The 21,025-nt window shown below is 42.8% G+C and overlaps 1 protein-coding gene and 1 pseudogene across 5 annotated transcripts, besides 5 other annotated features; both read left to right on the forward strand.

Annotated features, from left to right (window-relative positions):
* Positions 12-20,897, forward strand: ZNF525 (zinc finger protein 525). Of its 5 annotated transcripts, none has more exons than NR_145446.2 (5): positions 12-201; positions 5,526-5,648; positions 6,522-6,603; positions 10,077-10,203; positions 19,277-20,897. NR_145446.2 is itself a non-coding variant. In NM_001348156.2 (4 exons), the coding sequence occupies exons 2-4, from the start codon at positions 6,589-6,591 to the stop codon at positions 16,324-16,326; spliced, it is 1,440 nt and encodes a 479-aa protein (NP_001335085.1). In that variant the 5' UTR covers positions 12-66; positions 6,522-6,588; the 3' UTR covers positions 16,327-20,897. The 5 variants fall into 5 exon arrangements, 2 of the variants coding, with proteins under 2 accessions (NP_001335085.1, NP_001335086.1); NR_145445.2 differs by lacking the exon at positions 5,526-5,648 and adding an exon at positions 15,029-18,363 and having other exon boundaries at positions 12-66; NR_145447.2 differs by lacking the exon at positions 5,526-5,648 and having other exon boundaries at positions 12-66.
* Positions 60-309: an enhancer, noted in NCBI's record as "active region_15066". NCBI's record gives its function as "activates an Ori minimal core promoter by ATAC-STARR-seq in GM12878 lymphoblastoid cells {active_cell/tissue: GM12878}" and the evidence as "EXISTENCE:reporter gene assay evidence [ECO:0000049][PMID:35858748]".
* Positions 350-409: a silencer, noted in NCBI's record as "silent region_11008". NCBI's record gives its function as "represses an Ori minimal core promoter by ATAC-STARR-seq in GM12878 lymphoblastoid cells {active_cell/tissue: GM12878}" and the evidence as "EXISTENCE:reporter gene assay evidence [ECO:0000049][PMID:35858748]".
* Positions 3,611-4,112: an enhancer, noted in NCBI's record as "H3K4me1 hESC enhancer chr19:53872557-53873058 (GRCh37/hg19 assembly coordinates)". NCBI's record gives its function as "activates a minimal SCP1, AML or CMV promoter by ChIP-STARR-seq in naive H9 embryonic stem cells {active_cell/tissue: H9 hESC(naive)}" and the evidence as "EXISTENCE:reporter gene assay evidence [ECO:0000049][PMID:30033119]".
* Positions 4,113-4,612: an enhancer, noted in NCBI's record as "H3K4me1 hESC enhancer chr19:53873059-53873558 (GRCh37/hg19 assembly coordinates)". NCBI's record gives its function as "activates a minimal SCP1, AML or CMV promoter by ChIP-STARR-seq in naive H9 embryonic stem cells {active_cell/tissue: H9 hESC(naive)}" and the evidence as "EXISTENCE:reporter gene assay evidence [ECO:0000049][PMID:30033119]".
* Positions 8,509-9,079: an enhancer, noted in NCBI's record as "OCT4-NANOG hESC enhancer chr19:53877455-53878025 (GRCh37/hg19 assembly coordinates)". NCBI's record gives its function as "activates a minimal SCP1, AML or CMV promoter by ChIP-STARR-seq in naive and primed H9 embryonic stem cells {active_cell/tissue: H9 hESC(naive and primed)}" and the evidence as "EXISTENCE:reporter gene assay evidence [ECO:0000049][PMID:30033119]".
* RPL39P35 (ribosomal protein L39 pseudogene 35) lies at positions 20,487-20,890 on the forward strand (annotated as a pseudogene).

Raw genomic sequence — 21,025 nt, forward strand, 5'->3', positions numbered from 1 at the left:
CTTCCCCGCTCAGACGCGCGCAAACCCGGAAGCAGATCGCGTGGAGTGAAGGTCCCTCAGCGGCGCGTGAGTTTCGCTCCATCTTGTATGAAGTCTGCTCTTCCCAGGTCCCCGGCGCTTCTGTCCCTGGGACGTGGGGTCCCTACAGACCTGGAAATTCTCACCCGTCTTCCTTCGCCCAGAGCAAATTGAGACGTCCCCGTGAGAGCCCGGGGGTCACTTCCTTTTGGGTTTAAAGTCTCCCTGAGGCTGGTCCCGTTCCGGATCTTTCTGCTATAGGGCAATATATACACTTTCTATCGCGTAGTTTTCCTGCTCTAAACCTTTTTCTGACTCCTCCCGCCCCGCGCTTTTTAAAGTCCTCACCCGAGAGGTGAATTCCCGCCCTGGGCGCCTCCCAGCCTCGCCCTCGTCGGCCCCTAGAGCGCAGCGTCGCAGCTCCGGTCCCGGGGAGGCCGAGTTCTCTGCCTGTCCTGGGATCCTACAAACCCCACCCTTGTCTTAAGGCGCCGTCGCCCCCCACGTCCCTCCTCATGCCGGGCCCTGCTGCTCCCCAGGTCTCCCATCCGCAGTCACAGCTTGCCCTGAGCCTGCGTTAGGGGAGGTGCCCGGGTTCTGTCCTGTGACACGGGGTGTTCTTGCCTGCCCAGTTCCAGCCCCTGGAAAATAAGCTCCTCCGGGATGCAGGCGTCTTACTCCAAACCCTCCTGTGATTGTGTGGGCCAAAGGGATCGGGAGACAGACAGCAGTAGAAAACCTGAGACAGAGAAAAGAAGAATGAGAAAGGCCCATAACAGATGGCAAAGTAGAGGATGGGTGAGGGATTTGCCAAGAGACAGCAAAAGTGAAAAAAAAAAAAAAAAAGATAAGCAGGAGGAGAAAAGCAACTAGAGAAATGTAGAGAAAAGCTAGATGTACAGAGAGATGAAGGACAGCAAGGTAGGGAGAGGGACAGCAAAGAGGGAGGCTCATCAGGGTGAGGGAGAGGAGGAGGGATTTGGAGCCAGGGCAGACAGAGCAGAGTGGTGCTGGTGGCAAAGAGAACAGAGGGAGAACCACAGCAGGGAGGACACCTGGGGATCTGGGGTGCCAGAGAGTGGGGACAGGGGGTATAACAGAGAAGAGAGAATTTAACGGGGAGAGCAGAGGAGGCGCAGAGATGGTGTTGCGGGAAACTGAGGACTAGAGAGACTGATATGGGGGAGACAGGAGGATGTTTATTTAAGGTACACAGCGGCTCAGCAGATTTACATCTAAAAAGCTGAGCATTTCAACAAACACAGAGTGGGTTTTTTTTGCTTTCAGAAGCAGAGTAGAAGCAGTTAATCATATAATAGGTCACGTAATCTATAGCATAGCATAACTTGTGTCCTTCCATAGCTGGTGGCCTTGTAGCTGCATTGAAAGAAAAACAAGAACAGCTAAATACACACGTTTGTCCTTTTTTTTTCCTTCACCCTTGTTCTGGAGGTGGGGGTGTCAGGAGCTCATTCCTTTGGCTTCAACTTCTCAAACAGCGTCTCATAACTGTTCTTGAAGTGAGCTTGCTAGGCAGAGGAAAACTTCTTTTCTTTTTAACCCTTGCCTTGCCTGTTACTATTCTTGGAGTGAATGAATACATTTTTTTTTTTAAATTTCTGCTTCAGTTTCTTCCCTTAGATGCTTTTTATTATCAAGATTTTAATAGAAAGCATCACTATTACTGGATTCTTCATGAAAGAGCAGGTTTTCTTCTTTAGGCACAGGCTGATATTTATACAGAGCTATTAGCTGAGTGGTAGTCTGCCTGGTTACAATTGCTTCTATAGTTGATTAAATGTTCTTAACAAGGAGAGGTAAGAGGTAAGGGAGTATTAAACCAATTCTTAGTATTTCTAGAACTACTCCTATTAAGGTTTTGAATCGACTGAAGGAGGAAAACCAGCCTCTAAAGAGGGACTCGGGAGTCTACTTTGTCTAAGTCTGGACTGGAACATGGGATAATTTTTTCATACTTGCAGTTATTTCTATAACAGCCTTCCTGTTGTCATTGATTTCTAGGCAGCAATTAGTTAGATTAAACTTTCTACATACTCCTCCTTCCTAGGCTAGGAGGTAGTCTAAAGCTAATCTATTTTGGTAGATGGCATTTCTCATTTTCATGGCTTACTGGGCCAGTTTCATTAGTGATGATTTCAAGTACTGCTTGCAAATTTATGATGTGGTTAAGCGTGTAAATCGGGGTGCGATACCTTTATGACTTATCTCGTGCCCAGGTAGCTGGCCTAGAGTACAGAATTAGTCTTTCAGGGGGCCAGTCTGTATCTTTCTAATCTTCTATTTTTATGTCTTTTCTTATGTCTATATCTCTTTTGTTTTTTTTCTTTAATTTTGTTGTAGACAGGATACCTTAAAATTTCTCCTTGTTGCAATGGGAGTTAGAAGAAAGATGGTCTGATTGTTTCAAGTACACAAGCCCTTGTCCATTTGGCTGGCAACTGTCAGTAGGCCTGTGGCACACAGTTCTAATAGAGACCAGAGGGTGCTTGCCAGGTATTTGGAGCTTCAAGCTGATACTATGTGTGGTTTAGAGAAGAGAAACGGGAGAATGAGTTTGGATGAGGTGATCTGGAGTCATCTTTGCCTTGCCACAAAGTTTTCTTTAGTGTTTTATTATAATATTGCTGTCTTAAACAAGTTAATTCTTCTAGTGACTCTGTAAAAGCTTTTCCTTAGTGAGCAACACAGTATCTCCTGATAATAGAAGTTTTTAAGAGCTAGGGGCTTGAAACTGTGGGCATTGCTTTGGGGGAAGAGTCAGTTAGAGTTAAATTATCTTGTGGCATTAACGCTTTTGCTTCTTAAGGCCAGTGGTCTCCTATGTTAGTCCTTCTACAAACATAACATGAGGAAATGCTTAGGCTGCTAGCAATGTTTTCAGCTAGCCAAGCAAACAGGCTTTTAGCTAAAGGAGGAGGCTCTGGTAACTTCTGGTCTACCTGCTTGTAGAATAATTTAAAGATTTGGAATTGTTGCTGGGCCAGAAGGGTCGGGGTTCCTTTTTTGATAACATATAGGTAGGTTGCTGGGTAGGTGTGTGTGGAGACATGAATGGGGTAACCTGCGGTCCACACGGGTAAGTCTGGCTTTAGAATGGTGAAATTTACGGGATGACAGATTTTTGTTTCACAATCTGGTTTTACCGGCATTTTGGTAAGCATGATTGTCCTTTGTTGTGTGCTGGGGTGCCACGATATGCAATACTGAGAATCTTTTTCTGGGGTCTCAGAAGGACAAGGTGGCATGCATACGTATCTGTAGTCATTTCTATAGTATCTTTTTATAGGTAGGTTACCATAGACAGATGAGTCTAGGTCTGCTGATGACAAGCATCAAAATACAGAGAAATAGGCCCTCGGTAAAAGGGAAGGACCTTGGTTTGGTTTAAAAGGGAACTTTTTTTTGACCTTGCATGAATTTTAAACTATTCACCAGGTGAAAACTTGGAGTTATAAGATACATAAGGTTGGTTATTTTCTTGGTCACAAATTGAGTAGATTGTCTATGTACAAGTTCTTTTTTTTTTTGAGCTGGAGTTTTGCTCTTGTTGCCCAGGCTGGAGTGCAATGGCACAATCTTGGCCCACTGCAACCTCCACCTCCCAGGTTCAAGTGATCCTCCTGCCTCAGCCTCTCAGGCACCCACCACCATGCCCAGCTAATTTTTTGTATTTTTAGTAGAGACGGGTTTCACCATGTTGGCCAGGTTGGTCTCAAACTCCTGAACTCAGGTGATCCACCTGCCTTAACCTCCTAAAGTACTGGGATTACAAGCATGATCCATTGTTCCCGGCCACCCATGTATTCTTGATGGAAACAATTTGCTTATGTCTTAGTTCTACAGCTGACCTTCTTTTCACTGTTTTTAAGGTCAATAGCTGTGGGTTCGCACTTCTGCATTTTATAAATGTTACTGTGATTTTCTTGTAAGGAAGAATTAAACGTCGGGAACCAAAGGCAACAGAACCTTGCAAAAGAAGTTTCTTTTTTTTTTTTTTTTTTTTTTTTTTTTTGAGACGGAGTCTCGCTGTCACCCAGGCTGGAGTGCAGTGGCGCGATCTGGGCTCACTGCAAGCTCCACCTCCCGGGTTCACGCCATTCTCCTGCCTCAGCCTCCCCAGTAGCTGGGACTACAGGCGCCCGCCACCACGCCCAGCTAATTTTTTGTATTTTTAGTAGAGGTGGGGTTTCACCGTGTTAGCCAGGATGGTCTCGATCTCCTGACCTCGTGATCCGCCCGCCTCGGCCTCCCAAAGTGCTGGGATTACAGGCGTGAGCCACCGCGCCCGGCCAAGAAGTTTCTTTAGCCCAGATATGTGAAAGATACCTCTCTAATTTTCAAGGATAGGGGTGATAAAGACCAACACTTCCATTAGCTCTTCCAGGCCCCCATGTAATAATTCAGGTAGCTGGGTGCGGTGGCCCACGCCTGTAATCCTAGCACTTTGGGAGGCTGAGGCGGGCAGATCAGGAGGTCAGGAGATCGAGATTATCCTGGCTAACTTGGTGAAACCCCTTCTCTACTAAAAATACAAAAAATTAGCCAGATGTTGGGTGGATGCCTGTAGTCCCAGCTACTCGAAAGGCTGAGGCAGGAGAATGGTGTGAACGTGGGAAGCGGAGTTTGCACCGAGATCCTGCCACTGCTCTCCAGCCTGGGAGACAGAGCGAGACTCCATGTCAAAAAAAAAAAAAAAAAAGAACAGGCACACCTTCTCACTCATCTCAGACCTTCTCAGGGTAACTTGGTGAAAATTTCCCTGCTCTGAGCCCAGTGAGCCTCCCTGCAACTTGGAGATGAGGGGCTAGACCAGAAAAGCTCAACCCGAGTGACCCTGGCCCCTTAAATGGTTGGCAAAATAGAATGCATGTCTGGGTGTGGCTTTTCTTCTGGGAGAGGGGAGTGCCCAGTTGTAATTAGAATTTTAAATGGGATGCAGTACCCCAAAAATGAAAAAAAAATAATAAAATGCAGAAGAATGGAAGAAACAGAGTTGCAGACTCAGACACAGAGACTATCTTCGGGGCCTTTCTCTGTATGAGGACATCACAGCCAAATCTAAAGCAGGTCACGTCAGTCCCTGGCAGGGAACCCTCCACCGGCTTCCCGTGTTCCCCAGGACAAAAGCCCAACTCCTCACTGTGGCTCCACAGCCCTGTGTCCAGGGCCCCTGCCAGTGTCCAGCCTCCTCCTGGGAGCTTGCCCTCATCTCATGACTCCCTTTGCCCCAGTCACATTTGCTTTTCGCTTTTCCCAAACATCAGAACCTTTCCTGTCTCAGGTCGTTGTCCCTGCTCTTAACCTATGTCCCTAAATGATGACAGCCCTGTCCCTTTCCTCTGCGTTCAGGTCTAGGCTCAGAGCTGTCTCCCATGCCCTCCACCCCATCTGAAGTTCCCTCTGCCCATCAGTCTCTATCACATGACTCAGGTTTTATTATCTCTGCATCAATCACATCAGAAACGCTTTTTTTTTTTTTTTTTTAGACAGAGTCTCACTCTGTCGCACAGGCTGTGAGTGCAGTCTCATGATCTTGGCTCACTGCAACCTACGTCTCCTGGGCTCAAGCGATTCTTGTGTCTCAGCCTCCCAATTAGCTGAGATTACAGGTGTGTGCCACCACACTCAGCTAATTATTGTATTTTTATTTTTAGTTTAGTTTTGAGTCTCATTCTGTCACCCAGGCTGGAGTGCAGTGACATGATCTCGGCTCACTGCAACCACCACCTCCAGGGTTCAAGCGATTCTCCTGCCTCAGTCTCCCGAGTAACTGGGATTACAGACACCTACCAAGCCCAGTTACTTTTTGTATTTTTAATAGAGACAAGGTTTCACCATGTTGACCATGCTGGTCTCAGACTTCTGACCTCAAGTAATCCACCCACCTTGGCCTTCCAGAGTGCTAGTATTACAGGCGTGAGCCACTGTGACTGGCTCAATTTTTGTATTTTTAGTAAAGGCAGGGTTTCACTATGTTGGCCAGGCTGGTCTCGAACTCCTGAGCTCAAGTGATTCTCCCACCTCAACCTCCTAAGTAGCTGGGAGCACAGACACACAGACATGCACCGCTATGCCTGGCTAAGTTTTTATATTTTTGGTAGAGATGGGGTTTCACCATGTTGCCTAGGCTGGTCTCAAACTCCTGAGCTCAAGCGATCTACCCCTCTCAGCCTCCCACAGTGCTGGGATGACAGCTGTGAGCCACTGCACCCAGCCTCTGTATGAAGTTTGGTCAGGTCTGGGTCGGTGCCCTGAAGAGCTCATTCCAGCCCAGCTCCCCACTGCTGCAGCGTGTGTGTAGGCTTCCCCAGGAGGGGAGTGGGAGTTTTCCTGTAGGAGTTTATTGTACCTGGTACCTGGTGTGGAGGGCAGTAGAGGGGACTGTATTTCATCAGGGTGAGGTCTCCTTTGTATGTGTCATTGTGTTACAGGGAGGGTGTGTGTTGATTCTGAGCAATAAACAACATATTTTTATCACTCAGGATTGACATCTAAAGACTCTTGGTACATGAGGAAGAAACCCGGAAAAGGAAAGCAGAGGAGTCAGGGATGGCTCTTCCTCAGGTGAGACGATATTCTCAGTGGATTGTTCTGTCTCCTTCCTTTCAGAAATGCTGACCTTGGAGTTGGGAATCTTCTAAGTCTGAAGCTTCCTGCCTGACAGGTTTGCTCACATTCACCCATGCCTTCCCTCAGTCCCTCTCATCTCACTTAGATTTTATCTCTTGTGGCTCAGTGACATGAACTTGGGAAGAGGCTGCACTGGGCATGGTCTTGGGAAGGGCTCACAACCAGACATGGATGGAGACGGGGTGAGGGTCCCGTGGTGTCAGTGCTGTTGGGCAGCAGGGATTGTTCAGGGGCCACATCTGGATGCACTGTCAGCTCTCTGTGGACCAGGATTAGAGCAGCTGCCACTGGAAGTCACGCACTAATGTGCACAAAGTACGTGGTAAATTCCAGAAAAGGAGACCAATATTGGGAAATCCTTTCTGCCTGATTTTATACTATATTTTTAGGTAATTGAATGGGTTGCTGTGTTTCTGACTCCAAAATCTTAGTAATTAGAATGGAAAGTTCATACACAGACATGAATGATACAAGATGTTTGATTCCATCTTTATTTTAAGAATATGAAATCAACCTAAATAATAGCAGGAGATTCATTAATCCATTTGCAGCATATTAAGCTCATGGAGACCGTGGTGTTACTGTGGAGAGGCTTGTGAAACAGGTGTTTTCAGTAAAAATGGTTATAACTTTTCTCACATATGAGAGCAGTACTTCATTTTTATCCTAGAGGATGGAGCCATATTCTCATTCCACCTGTTACAATTATTATTATTATGATATTCTGATAATATTATTATATTTTAAATATAAGAAGTCTTTCTCTGTCACCCAGGCTGAAGTGCAGTGGCATGATCTTGGCTCATGGCAACCTCCACCTCCCAGGTTCAAGCGATTCTCCTGCTTCAGCCTCCCCAGTAGCTGAGATTATAGGCATGCACCACCATGCCAAGCTAATTTTGTTGTATTTTTATTAGTGACAAGTATCACCATGTTGGCCAGGCTAGTCTCAAACTCTTAACCTCAGGTGATCTGCCTGCCTCAGCCTCCAGGAGTGCTGAGATTACAGGCATGAGCCACCATGCCCAGCCCCATCAATTATTATTAAATATATATGTTTATATTTAAACATCACATGATGAATATATTTGTTTTGTGGTAAAACTCCAAGCAAAGCTGCAGCTTATACCCTTTGCCATAAAGCATCTTCTTTTCTCTGTCGTGTCCTCCACCCTCCTTCCAGCCTCACTGGGGAGCCGCTACTGTCAGTTCGGTGTCAGGTGTCAGGTGTGGTACTCATGTATTTCTGTATCGTTATGAGACTCCGGAAAAATTCTGCAGTAAATTACAAAATTTTTTTTTTACAAAAATTAACCAGGCATGGTGGCGCATGCCTGTAATCCCAGCTACTCAGGAGGCTGAGGCAAGAGAATGACTTGAACCTGGGAAGCGGAGGTTGCAGTGAGATGAGATTGTGCCACTGCACTCCAGCCTGGGCACAGAGCAAGACTTCGTCTCAAAAAAAAAAAAATAGTTTTTATATTTATGTTTTTACTTTAGGTTTGGGGCTGCATGTGCAGGTTTGTTACATAGGTAAACTAGGGTCATCAGGGTTTGTTGTACAAATTATTTCATCACTCTGGTATTAAGCCCAACTGCAACCTCTGCATCCCGAGCTCAAGCGATTCTCCTGCCTCAGCCTCCTGGGTAGCTGAAATTACTGGGGCCTGCTACCACACCTGGCTAATTTTTGTATTTTTAGTAGAGATAGGGTTTCACCATGTTAGCCAGGCTGATCTTGAACTTCTGACCTAAGATGATCCACACACCTCGGCCTCCCAAACAGCTGGGATTACAGGTGTGAGCCTCCTTGCCCAGCCCCCAATAGTTATTTTTTCTGCTCCTCTCCTTCCTCCCACTCTCCCCACTCTCAAGCAGACCTCAGTGTGTTTTGTTTTCTTCTTTGTGTTCCAGGAAATATTTTACCTTGATATTTCATCCTGCTAGTTGTGAATTTACATGTTGTCATGTTAGTGAACATGGCTAGCTTGCTCTTTGACATCTGCGTTGGAAATTAGCTGAATGACAACATGTGGGTCCTTTGTGATTTTTCCCTGTATAAAGAGTGCCATAGTGGCTGCCTCTGCACGTGCCTGCATTCCTACAGATATCTGAAATTTCCTCCAGGTCAGGCAGTTGAAAGGGTGATTGCTTCTTCTAGGATGGGGCATTTCCTGTTTTCTTAGATCTGACAAGATTCCTCCCTGCCCCCAACCGCCAAAGTGTCCTTTTCCAGCAAGATGAGATTCCTCTTCAGTTATACAAAACTTGCTATTTTATATTTTTACAACCTGTATTTATATATACATACACACACACATATACATATACATACGTATAGACACACACAAATGTATATATTTTGAACAACTTTTACATTTTGAAAATCTGGGGAAAATGACAACCCTTTGTATTAACATCTAGTTTTTTTGTGAGTCTGTGTAGGTCTCATTATTTTGTTGACAAATATATCTATATAATGGATTTTCCTACTTTGAGTAATCTAGTTTTCATGTATTTTCTTTTATTTTGAGACTGGGTCTCACTGTGTTGCCCAGGCTGGAGCACAGTGGTGTGATCTTAGCTCACTGTAACCTCCACCCTCAGGCTCAAGCCATCCTCCTCCGTCAGGCTCCCAAGTAGCTGGAACCACAGGTGCCTGCCACCATGCCCAGCTAATTTTTTTTTTTTTGAGATGGAGTCTCTGTTGCCCTGGCTGGATTGGTGCAATTTTGGATCATTGCAACTTCTGCCTACTGGGATCAAGCAGTTCTGCATCACCCTCCTGGGTAGCTGGGATAACAGGCATGTGCCACCGTGCCTGGCTGGATTTTAGTTTCTGATCTTTCACTGTGGACGTTGTAATCTCTGAAGACATCACTCATACTCTGTCTCATCTAGATACTGAATGTCACTTAGTGTGTCAACAAAAGTTTCTGCGCCAGGCAGGGCCCAGAATTGGGCCTGCAATTCCAGCACTTTGAGAGACTGTATCAGGCAGATCACGAGGTCAGGAGTCTGAGACAAACCTGGCCAGTATGGTGAAACTCCGTTTCTACTAAAAATACAAAAATTAAATTGGCGTGGTGGCATGCACCTGTAATTTCAACTACTCAGGAGGCTAAGGCAGGAGAATCGCTTGATCCTGGGAGGTGGAGGTTGCAGTGAGCGGAGACTATGCCATTGCACTCCAGCCTGAGTGACAGAGTGAGACTCTGTCTCAAAAAAAATAAAAGTATAACAAAACACAACTGGGAAGACAAAATGCAGTGAAAAACCCCTTACTCGGATTTGTCAGAACATTCACTGCAATTAAATCCATGCTTTCCCCTCTCTCCTCTTCTCATTTTCTGTAAAGATAAGAACTCCTCCCATAACCATTTGGTTAAAATGTGTTTTCATTTCAGGGTCTATTGACATTCAGGGATGTGGCCATAGAATTCTCTCAGGAGGAGTGGAAATGCCTGGACCCTGCTCAGAGGACTCTATACAGGGACGTGATGCTGGAGAATTATAGGAACCTGGTCTCCCTGGGTGAGGATAACTTCCCTCCAGAAGTGGGGATGTGTCCTTTCGTATCTTTGTATTTTCTCTTTTTTTAGATAGAGTATCTCTCTCTCTGTCCCCAAGGGTGGGGTGCAATGGTGTGATCATGGCTCACTGCAATCTTGAATTCCTGGGCTCAAGTGATTGTCCCACCTCAGCCTCCCCTCGTAGTGGTACAGGTGCATGCCACCATGCCAGGATACTTTTTTAGTTTCTTTTTTTAGAGACAGGTTCTTGCTGTGCGGTTGAAGTTGGTCTTGATCTCCTGGGCTCAAGACATCCTCCTCGGCCTCCCAAGAAGCTGGGATTACAGGCGCCAACCCCCGTACCTAACTATTGGCTTTTGTTTTTAAACTTTTTGCATATGTGTGTCCTTAGGGCTAATATGAGTCTTCTGTGGACAACAAGTAGTTGGTTCCTGTTGATTGAGTCAGTCTTTGCCTTCTGAGTGCAGAGTTAAATATTTGCATTTGAAATATTACTGATGCAGAAGACCTTACCATTGCCTTTTTGTTACATATTATCTGTATTTCTTGATTTTTTTTGTTGTTATTTTGTTCTTATTTTGTTTTTTCAGGTTTGTTTTTTGTTCTTCATTCTCCATTTCCTGCTTATTGTGTTTAATTGCTTTTCTGTGTAGACACGCTTTGACTCCTTTCTTCTTTACTTTTGTTTGTTTGTTTGTTTATGATGGAGTCTCCCTCTGTGGCCAAGGCTGCAGCGCAGTGGGGCGATCTTGGCTCACCGCAGCCGGCTCCACATCTCGGGCTCAAACAATTCTTGTGCCCCAGTGGCTCATGCCTGTAATCCCAGCACTTTGGAAGGCCGGGGGTGGGCAAATCACCTGAGGTCAGGAGTTCAAAACCAGCCTGTCTAACGTGGTGAAACTCCGTCTCTACTAAAAATACAAAATTAGCCAGACACGGTCGTGGGTGCCTGTAATCCCTGCTACTCAAGAGGCTAATGCAGGAGAGTCACTTGAACCCTGGAGGTGGAGGTTGTGGTGACCTGAGATTGTGCCATGCACTCCCGCCTGGGCAACACAGTGAGACTCTGTCTCAAAGAAAAAAAGATTCCACAACCTGCAAAAGCTTCTCTTTCTCCACCAGAACTTTATTTATGTCGGAATTATTTCTGTGTATGCTGCATTTTCATTAACATATATGTACAGTGTTTTTTCATGCTTTTTTCTTCTAAATAATAGGAAAAAAAGTTGAATTATGAAGGGACACATATACCAGTTTCTGTATCTGTCCTTTTATTTGCCTATTTATTTATTTATTAATGAGACGAAGTTTTGTTCTTGTCACCCATGCTAGAGTGCAATGGCACAATCTCGGGTCACTGCAACCTCCAACTCCTGGGTTCAAGCAATTCTCCTGCCTCAGTTTCCCGAGTAGCTGGGATTATAGGCATATGCCACCATGCCTGGCTAATTTTGTATTTTAATAGACATGGGATTTCTCCTTTTTGGTCAGGCTTTTCTTGAACTCCCGCCCTCAGGTGATCTGCCAACCTCGGCCTCCTAATCTGCTGGAATTACAGGTTTGAAAAACTGCGCCCGGCCTATCTGTCTTTTTATTTACCTTTACTGGAGAATTTTATATATATTTGTGGGTTGGAGTTACTCTTAGGCTTCTTTCATTTCTTTTTTTTTTTTTTTTGAGATGGAGTCTCGGTCTGTCACTCAGGCTGGAGTGCAGTGGCACAATCTTGGCTAACTGCAACCTCTGCCTCCCAGGTTCAAGCGATTCTCCTGCCTCAGTTTCCCAAGTAGCTGGGACTACAGGCATGTGCCACCACACCAGGCTAATTTTTTGTATTTTTGTTTTTTGTAGAGACGGGGTTTCACTGTGTTAGCAAGAATGGTCTCGATCTCCTGACCTCATGATCCTCCTCCCTCAGCCTCCCAAAGTGCTGGGATTACAGGTGTGAACCACCTCACTCAGCCGGCCTCAAAGTTTTTAAAACATGTTATTGCTATTAGATGGCTTCAAGTATTGCAAAATTTATAGTACAGGCCCTAAACTTCCTTTGTTTAATTAGATTTGTCAGCCTTCAGTGATGTGAATCATGAGATGCTTCTTTTCCTGTCTCAGTCATTTCACTGTCCTGTCAGAAATAGCTTAGACTGGCCAGCTGAGGTGGGTCATGCCTTAATCCCAGCAGTTTGGGATGCTGAGGTGGGCAGATAGCTTGAAGTCAGGAGTTTGAGACCAGTCTGGCCAACATGGTGAAACCTCGAATCTACTAAATACAAGAAATTGGCTAGGTGTAGTGGCTCAAGCCTGTAATCCCAGCACTTTGGGAGGCCGAGAGGGGCGGATCACCTGAGTTAAGGAATTTGAGACCAGCCTGACCAACATGGTGAAACCCTGTCTCTACTAAAAATACAAGAATTAGCTGGGCGTGGTGGCACATGGCTGTTATCCCAAGTACTCGAGAGGCTGAGGAAGGAGAATCTTGAACCCGGGAGGTGGAGGTTGTAGTGAGCCAAGGTTACACCACTGCACTCCAGTCTGGGCACCAAAGTGAGACTACAGGCTGAGGCGGGAGAATCTCTTGAGGCAGGAGAATCGTGCCACTACACTCCAGCCTGGGTGATAGAGCGTGACTCGGTCTCAAAAACAAACAAAAAAAGAAATAGCTTAAACTGGGAGGCTTAAGACACAGAAATTTATTTCTCATGAGTTTGGAAAGTGGGAAATCCAAGAGCAAGGTGCCAGCCACATTGGTTCCTGGTGAGAGCCTTCCTCATGGTTTAGCCCAGCCATCTTCCTGCCATGTCCTGACATGGTGGAAACAGGAACAGGCAACGAGCTCTTTAATGTCTCTTTTTATGAAAGCACAAGTCCTATTCACGAGTAGTCAACACCCGTGACCAAATTGTCTCAAAGGCCCCATCTGCAGGAACATCCTATTGGAGAATAAGAACTCTGAACATGGCGTTTGGCCAATACAAACATTCAGACCAGGGAGCCTGCATCATCTTATTTATGTTTTTATTGTTTAATTTGTTTCATACAATGTTTTCTCTGATCTCAGTTTATAAATTTTCCCAGTACACATTCTATGTTTTATATTTTATGCATAGTGAACTAGATACATAGGGCAATGTATATATATATATAGAATTGCTGTATTGCCTGGCTGTTTCATAAATGTAGTTGTGACATCATAATTGCACCCTCCGGCACTATTAGTCAATTCTTTTTTTTTTTCTTAGAGACGAAGTCTCACCCTGTCACTCAAGCTGGAGTGCAGTGGTGGGACCTTGGCTCACCACAAACTCTACCTCCTGGGTTCAAACGATTCTCTTGCCTCAGCCTTCTGAGTAGCTGAGATTACAGGCACCCGCCACCACACCCAGCTAATTTTTTTGTATTTTTAGTAGAGTTATGGTTTCACCACGTTGGCCAGGCTATTCTTGAACTCCTGACCTCATGGTCTTCCCACCTCGGCCTCCCAAAGTGCTGGAATTACAGGCATGAGCCACTGCACCCGGCTGTTAGTGAATTCTTATTCATTATAATGCTGCATATTTTTTTGACCTCATACATCAGAAGGTAGTGATCTTAACATGTATTTCAGTTCTTATATTGTGTGCTGGTGGTAAGTAGAAGTTGTGCTTTTTTCTTAACAGGGAATTGTTTAGAATTCTGCAGTTTGTATAAATGTACTTATGATTTGCTTGCTGGTTTTATGCGTTACAGTTATTTTACCAATTCATTTTTATGATTTTACATAAAGCTTTTCGGTATGTGGTATGCAATATAACTGACACAGTTTACTAGTTAATGTCACAAAGTGCCAGCGGGTGCTGTGGCTCACGCCTGCAATCCCAGGACTTTGGGAGGCTGAGGCGGGTGGATCACTTGAGGTCAAAAGTTCAAGGCCAGCCTGGCCAATATGATGTAACCCTATCTCTACTAAAAATACAAAAATTAGCCAAGCATGCTGGCATGTGCCTGTAATCCCATGTACTCAGGAGGCTGAGGCAGGAGAATGGCTTGAACCCAAAAGGTGGAGGTTGCAGTGAGCTGAGATCAGGCCATTGCCCTCCAGCCTGTTGTGACACAGTGAAACATTGTCTCAAAAATACAAAAATAAAAAAAAAATTTTAAATGTTACAATATGCCTTTTCTGCATGGATATAGGTAATTTTATGACAGTTATTCAGAAAAATATTTTTTTTTTTTTGAGATGGAGTCTCACTTTGTCATCCAGGCTGAAGTACAGTGGTGCGATCTCGGCTCACTGCAACCTCTGCCTCTTGGGTTCAAGCAATTCTTGTACCTCACCCTTGCGAGTAGCTGGGAGTACAGACGTGCACCACCATGCCTTGCTAAATTTTGTAAACTTTTCTTATCTTCTCAGTGCTATGATTATTTAACAATACAGAATTTCCATTGATTTTGGTTATCCTTACATGAGCTTGCTGTGGATTATTTACCAGTATATTATATTGTGTGGTCCTTTAGTATTTATTTGTATACAGTAAGTATGCTGTAAATATGAAGAATATATACTTTTCATTGATGTGACAGTGATATGTCTTTTGCAAACTGTTAGACACTTTAGGGTCACAGTGGAAAAATACTCCTTATTTTAGGCTTACACATGTTTGTGCCCTTCAGTGTTTTGTCATGATATTGGAAATAAGCTTTCATAATAATAATTTGAAGCACATGTAATCGCCCTTTATTTATTAAAGAATCTTACGATTTTGTGTTCCTAAACTTTGAAGATCATGTTTGGGAAGTTTAAAATCAGTATTGTCTTTTGTGTACCTATTAGTGTTTATATTTTGTAGGTATCTCTTCCAAATGCACAATGAAGGAGTTCTCATCAACAGCACAAGGCAATACAGAAGTGATCCACACAGGGACATTGCAAAGACATGAACGTCATCACATTGGAGATTTTTCCTTCCAGGAAATTGAGAAAGATATTCATAACTTTGAGTTTCAGTGGCAAGAAGATGAAAGAAATGGCCATGAAGCACCCATGACAAAAATCAAAAAATTGATGGGTAGTACAGAGCAATATGATCACAGGCATGCTGGAAACAAGCCTATTAAATATCAGCTTGGATCAAGCTTTCATTCACATCTGTCTGAACTCCACATATTTCAGCCCAAAGGGAAAATTAATAATCAAGTGGAGAAGTCTATCAACGATGCTTCCTCGGTTTCAACAGCCCAAAGAATTTCTTGTAGGCCCAAAACCCATATATCTAATAACTATGGGGATAATTTTCTGAATTATTCATTACTCACACAAAGACAGGAAGTACGCATGAGAGAAAAATCTTTCCAATGTATTGAGAGTGGCAAAGCCTTTAATTATAGCTCACTCTTAAGGAAACATCAGATTATTCATCTAGGAGAGAAACAATATAAATGTGATGTATGTGACAAGGTCTTTATTCGGAAGCGATACCTTGCACGCCATCGTAGATGTCACACTGGTGAGAAACCTTACAAGTGTAATGAGTGTGGCAAGTCCTTCAGTCAGATGTCATCCCTTACATATCATCATCGACTTCATACTGGAGAGAAACCTTACAAATGTGAAGAATGTGACAAAGCTTTCAGACACAATTCAGCCCTTCAAAGACATAGGAGAATTCATACTGGAGAGAAACCACATAAGTGTAATGAGTGTGGCAAGACCTTTAGTCAGAAGTCATACCTTGCATGCCATCGTAGCATTCATACTGGAAAGAAACCTTACGAATGTGAAGAATGTGACAAAGCTTTCAGTTTCAAATCAAACCTTGAAAGTCATAGGATAACTCATACTGGAGAGAAACCATACAAGTGTAATGATTGTGGCAAGACCTTCAGTCATATGTCAACCCTTACATGCCATCGTAGACTTCATACTGGAGAGAAACCTTACAAGTGTGAAGAATGTGATGAAGCTTTCCGTTTCAAATCAAGTCTTGAAAGACATAGGAGAATTCATAATGGAGAGAAACTGTACAAATGTAATGAGTGTGGCAAGACCTTCAGTCAGGAGTTATCCCTTACCTGCCATTGTAGACTTCATAGTGGAGAGAAACCTTGCAAGTGTGGAGAATGTGACAAGGCTTACAGTTTCAAATAAAATCTTGAAATACGTCAGAAAATTCATACTGGAGAGAAATGTTATAAGTGTAATGATTGTGGCAAGATCTTCAGTCATACGTCATCCATTGTATACCATCATAAATTTCATAGTGGAGAGAAACCTTACAAATGTGAAGAATGTGATGAAGCTTTCAGTTTCAAATCAAACCTTGAAAGACATAGGAGAATTCACACTGGTGAGAAACCTTACAGGTGTAATAGGTGTGGCAAGACCTTCAGTCATACATCATCCCTTACATGCCATCATAGACTTCATACTGGAGAGAAACCTTACAAATGTGAAGAATGTGATGAAACTTTCAGATACAAATCAAATCTTGAAAGACATAGGAGAATTCATAATGGAGAGAAACCGTACAAGTGTAATGAGTGTGGCAAGACCTTCAGTCAGAAGTCATGCCTTACACGCCATCATAGACTTCATACTGGAAATAAATCTTATAAGTGTAATGAGTGTGGCAAGACCTTCAGTAAGGAGTTAACACATGCCATCATAGACGTCATACTGGAGAGAAACCTTAGAAGTGCAATGAGTGTGGCAAAACCTTTCATAGGCAGTCAGCGCTTATTTACCATCAAGCAATCCATGGCAGAGGGAAACTTTACAAATGTAATGATTGTCACCACGTCTTCAGTAATGCTACAACTATTGCAAATCATTGGAGAATCCATAATAAAGAGAGACCTTACAAGTGTGATAAATGTGACAAATTTTTCAGACATCGTTCATACCTTGCAGTTCACGGGCGAACTCATGCTGGAGAGAAACCTTACAAATGTGAAGAATGTGATAAAGCTTTCAGATTCAAATCAAACCTTGAAAGTCATAGGAGAATTCATACTAGAGAGAAACCTTACAAGTGTAATGAGTGTGGTAAGATGTTCAGTCAAAATTCGGCCCTTGTAATTCATAAGGCAATTCATACTGGAGAGAAACCTTACAAGTGTAATGAATGTGGCAAGGTTTTTAATCGCAAAGCAAAGCTTGCATGTCATCATAGACTTCATACTGGAGAGAACGCTTGCAAGTGTAATAAATGTGGCGAGGTTTTTAATCAACAAGCACACCTTGCACGTCATCATAGAACTCATACTGGAGAGAAACATTACAAGTGTAATGAGTGTGGCAAGACCTACTCTCACAATTCAGTCCTTGTAATTCATAAGACAATTCACACTGGGGAGAAACCTTACAAGTGTAATGAGTGTGGCAAAACCTTCCATCACAATTCAGTCCTTGTAATTCATAAAACAATTCATACTGGAGAGAAACAAGCGTAATGAATGTGGCGAGGTTTTCAATCAACAAGCACACGTTGCACGTCATCATAGAATTCATACTGGAGAGAAACCTTAGAAATGTGAAGAATGTGACAAAGTTTACAGTCGCAAATCAAACCTCGAAAGACAGGAGAATTCATACTGGAGAGAAACCATAAAAATGTAAGAGTTTTTGACAAGGCTTTCGGACGTGATTCACACCTGGCACAACATCCCAGAGTTCACACTGGAGAGAAACCTTACAAGTGTAATGAGTGTGTCAAAGCCTTTAGTGGGCAGTCAACACTTATTCACCATCAGGCAATCCGTAGTGTAGGGAAACTTGACTAACGTAATGATTCTCACAACGTCTTCAGTAATGCTACAACCATTGTAAATCACTGGAGAAGCCATAATGAAGAGAGATCTTACAAATGTAATAATTGTGGCAAATTTTTCAGACATCGTTCATACATTGCCGTTCATTGGCGAACTCATGCTGGAGAGAAATCTTACAATGTCATGATTGTGGCAAGGTCTTCAGTCAAGCTTCATCTTTTGCAAAACAGGAGAATTCATACAGGAGAGAAACCTCACAAGTGTGATGATCGTGGCAAAGCCTTTACTTCACATTCTCACCTCATTAGACATCAGAGAATCCATACTGGACAGAAATCTTACAAATGTCATCAGTGTGGCAAGGTCTTCAGTCCGACTTCACTCCTTGCAGAATATCAGAAAATTCATTTTTCAGGTAATTGTTCCCAATGCAATGAATATAGCAAACCATCAAGCATTGATTGACATTAGAGTCAGTTCAGCATTGACTTGAGTTTGAGTTGACTTAACATTGAGTTCAAGCCTTAATTGACATTAAAGTGTTTATGTTAAGAGGACTGGGCTGTGTGGCATGGCTCACGCCTGTAATCCCAGCACTTTGGTAGGCCAAGGTGGGTAAATCACTTGAGGTCAGGAGTTTGAGATCAGCCTGGACAACAGACCTGAGCCACTTTTCCCAGCCTGTTTTTTGTTTCTTTAACAAAAACTGATAGGGATTTTTATGGGTATCGTATTGAATCTAGATTACATTGGGTTATATAATCATTTAACATATTAATTTTTCCAAACCATCAATATGGGTTGTGTCTCTATATATGTTTTTAATCATTTTGATCAATTTTTGTTGATTTCAAGGTACAAACGTCTCACCTTTTTACGTTTATTCCTAAGTATTTCTTATTTTAAGTTCTCCAGCAAATGGAAGTGTGTTAAAATTTTCTTTTAAAATTGTTTATTATTAAAATATGGAAATTCAACTAATTTTTGGTGCTGATACTGTATTGTGCAAATCCACTGAATATGTTTGTTAGTTCCAGTACTATTTTGGTTGAGTCTGTGATTTTCTACACAGAAGGTCATGTCGTCTACAAACAAATGTAATTTTACTTCTTTCTTTCTGATTTGGATGAGTTTGATTTCTTTTGCTATTTAATTGCTCTGGCTAGGACAGGCAGTATTGATTGAATAGAAGGGGTGAGAGCATTCTTGCATCATGTGAGATCGTACAGGAAAGCATTCCATTTTCCCTGCTTGGTTATTTACTCATTTGTCATTTCATGGATGTTCTTTCTATTGTTGAGGTAAATTTCCTTTTCTATTTTGTTTAGGATTTCTATGATGACTGGATTTTGAATTTTGTGGAACGCTTTTTCTCCATCTACTAAGGTGATGTGGTTTTAATCTTTCATTCTGTTCTAGTGGTATATAACATTGATTTGCTTGAATATGTTGAACCATCCTTGCATCCCAGAAATAACTGGCACTTGAATATCTACATTTTTTTAATATCCTCTTGAATACAGTTTTCTAGGACAAGGGATCTTCAAGAAGTTCTGGAAAAATACATATTATGAGAAAATTGTGCATGAATTTCACAATTTTTGCACCAAAATAAACTAGTGCTAGTCTGTTATAACATGTCTGAACAGGCTCTAGTTTGATGCCCTCAAAAGGATAAGACATGAGTATAAAAAGAGACTCCATCAAAGCAATATAAATTCTGATGAAATTTAAACAAGAAGAAACATTAAATTTATGATGAGACCAGATGCAGTGGCTCAGGCCTGTAATCCCAGCATTTTCAGAGGCTGAGACAGGTGGGCCACATGAGCCCAGGTATTCAAGACCAGCCTGGGAAACGTGGGGAAATCCCCTTTTCTACAAAAAATACAAAAATTAGCTGGGCATGGTGGCACATGCCTGCCGTCTCAGTTATTGTGAAGTCTGTGCAGGGAGGATGGCATGAACCTGGGAGGTCAAGATTGCAGTGAGCTATGATCATGCCACTGCACTCCAGCATGGGTGATGGAGAGAGATACTGTCTTAAAAAAAGAATACTTGTGGTAACGTTTGGGTAGAGGAATAATGAAATCATTGATGCTTTATAAAAAGGTTATGGGGACAATGCCCAAAAGAAATAAACAGTTTGTAAACGGATAACTTATTTTGAGTTAGGGCAAGACAATGTTGACAGTGATGCATGAAGCAGCAGGCAGACCTTCCACATCATTTTTACAGAAAAAAAAATTAATCTTGTTCATGCTGCAATGAAGAGGACTGACAGCAAACAGCAGAAACATAGTCAGAATTTAGAGAACAGCCTGGTTAACATGGTGAAACACCATCTCTAGTAAAAATACAAAAATTAGCTCAGCATGGTGGCATGCGCCTGTAATCCCAGCTACTCAGGAGGCTGAGGCAGGGGAATCTCTTGAACCCAGGAGGTGGAGGATGCAGTGAACTGAGATGGCAACATTACACTCTAGCCTGAGCAACAAGAGCAAAACTCCATCTCAAAAAAAAAAAAATTGTCAAGTTCCTTCTCTTCCATTCTTTGCCATCGTGGTGTGTGCTTGACTCTGCTTCTTGCCACATCTTCTCAGAAGACTTTCAGGATTAAGCGATTCCTGGCCAAGAAACAAAAGCAAAACCATCCCACTCCCCTGTGGATTCAGATCAAAACTGGTAATAAAATCAGGTACGACTCCAAAAGGAGACATTGGAGAAGAACCAAGCTGGGTCTATAAGGAATTGCATGTGAGATGGCACACATATTTATGCTGTCTGAGCATCACAATCACGTTACCATATCAAGCTGAAAATGTCACCACTATCTGGACAGTTGGACATGTTTTATTGGGAATATGTTTTTTCTCTGTAAATTTGTTATAAACGCATTGGTTGGCTGTGTTCAGTAATAAACGTGAGACTTTTCATTTCAAAACAAAAGTCAAATGATGTAATTCCATAGAGTACCTTAATTTCTGTTTTTTGTTTTGTTTTGTTTTGTTTTGAGATCGAGACTCCACTGGGTTCAGTGGATCACACCTGTGGTCCTGCCACTTTGGGAGGCTTAG

Source organism: Homo sapiens, chromosome 19, assembly GCF_000001405.40.
Source record: "Homo sapiens chromosome 19, GRCh38.p14 Primary Assembly".
Taxonomy (NCBI): domain Eukaryota; kingdom Metazoa; phylum Chordata; class Mammalia; order Primates; family Hominidae; genus Homo; species Homo sapiens.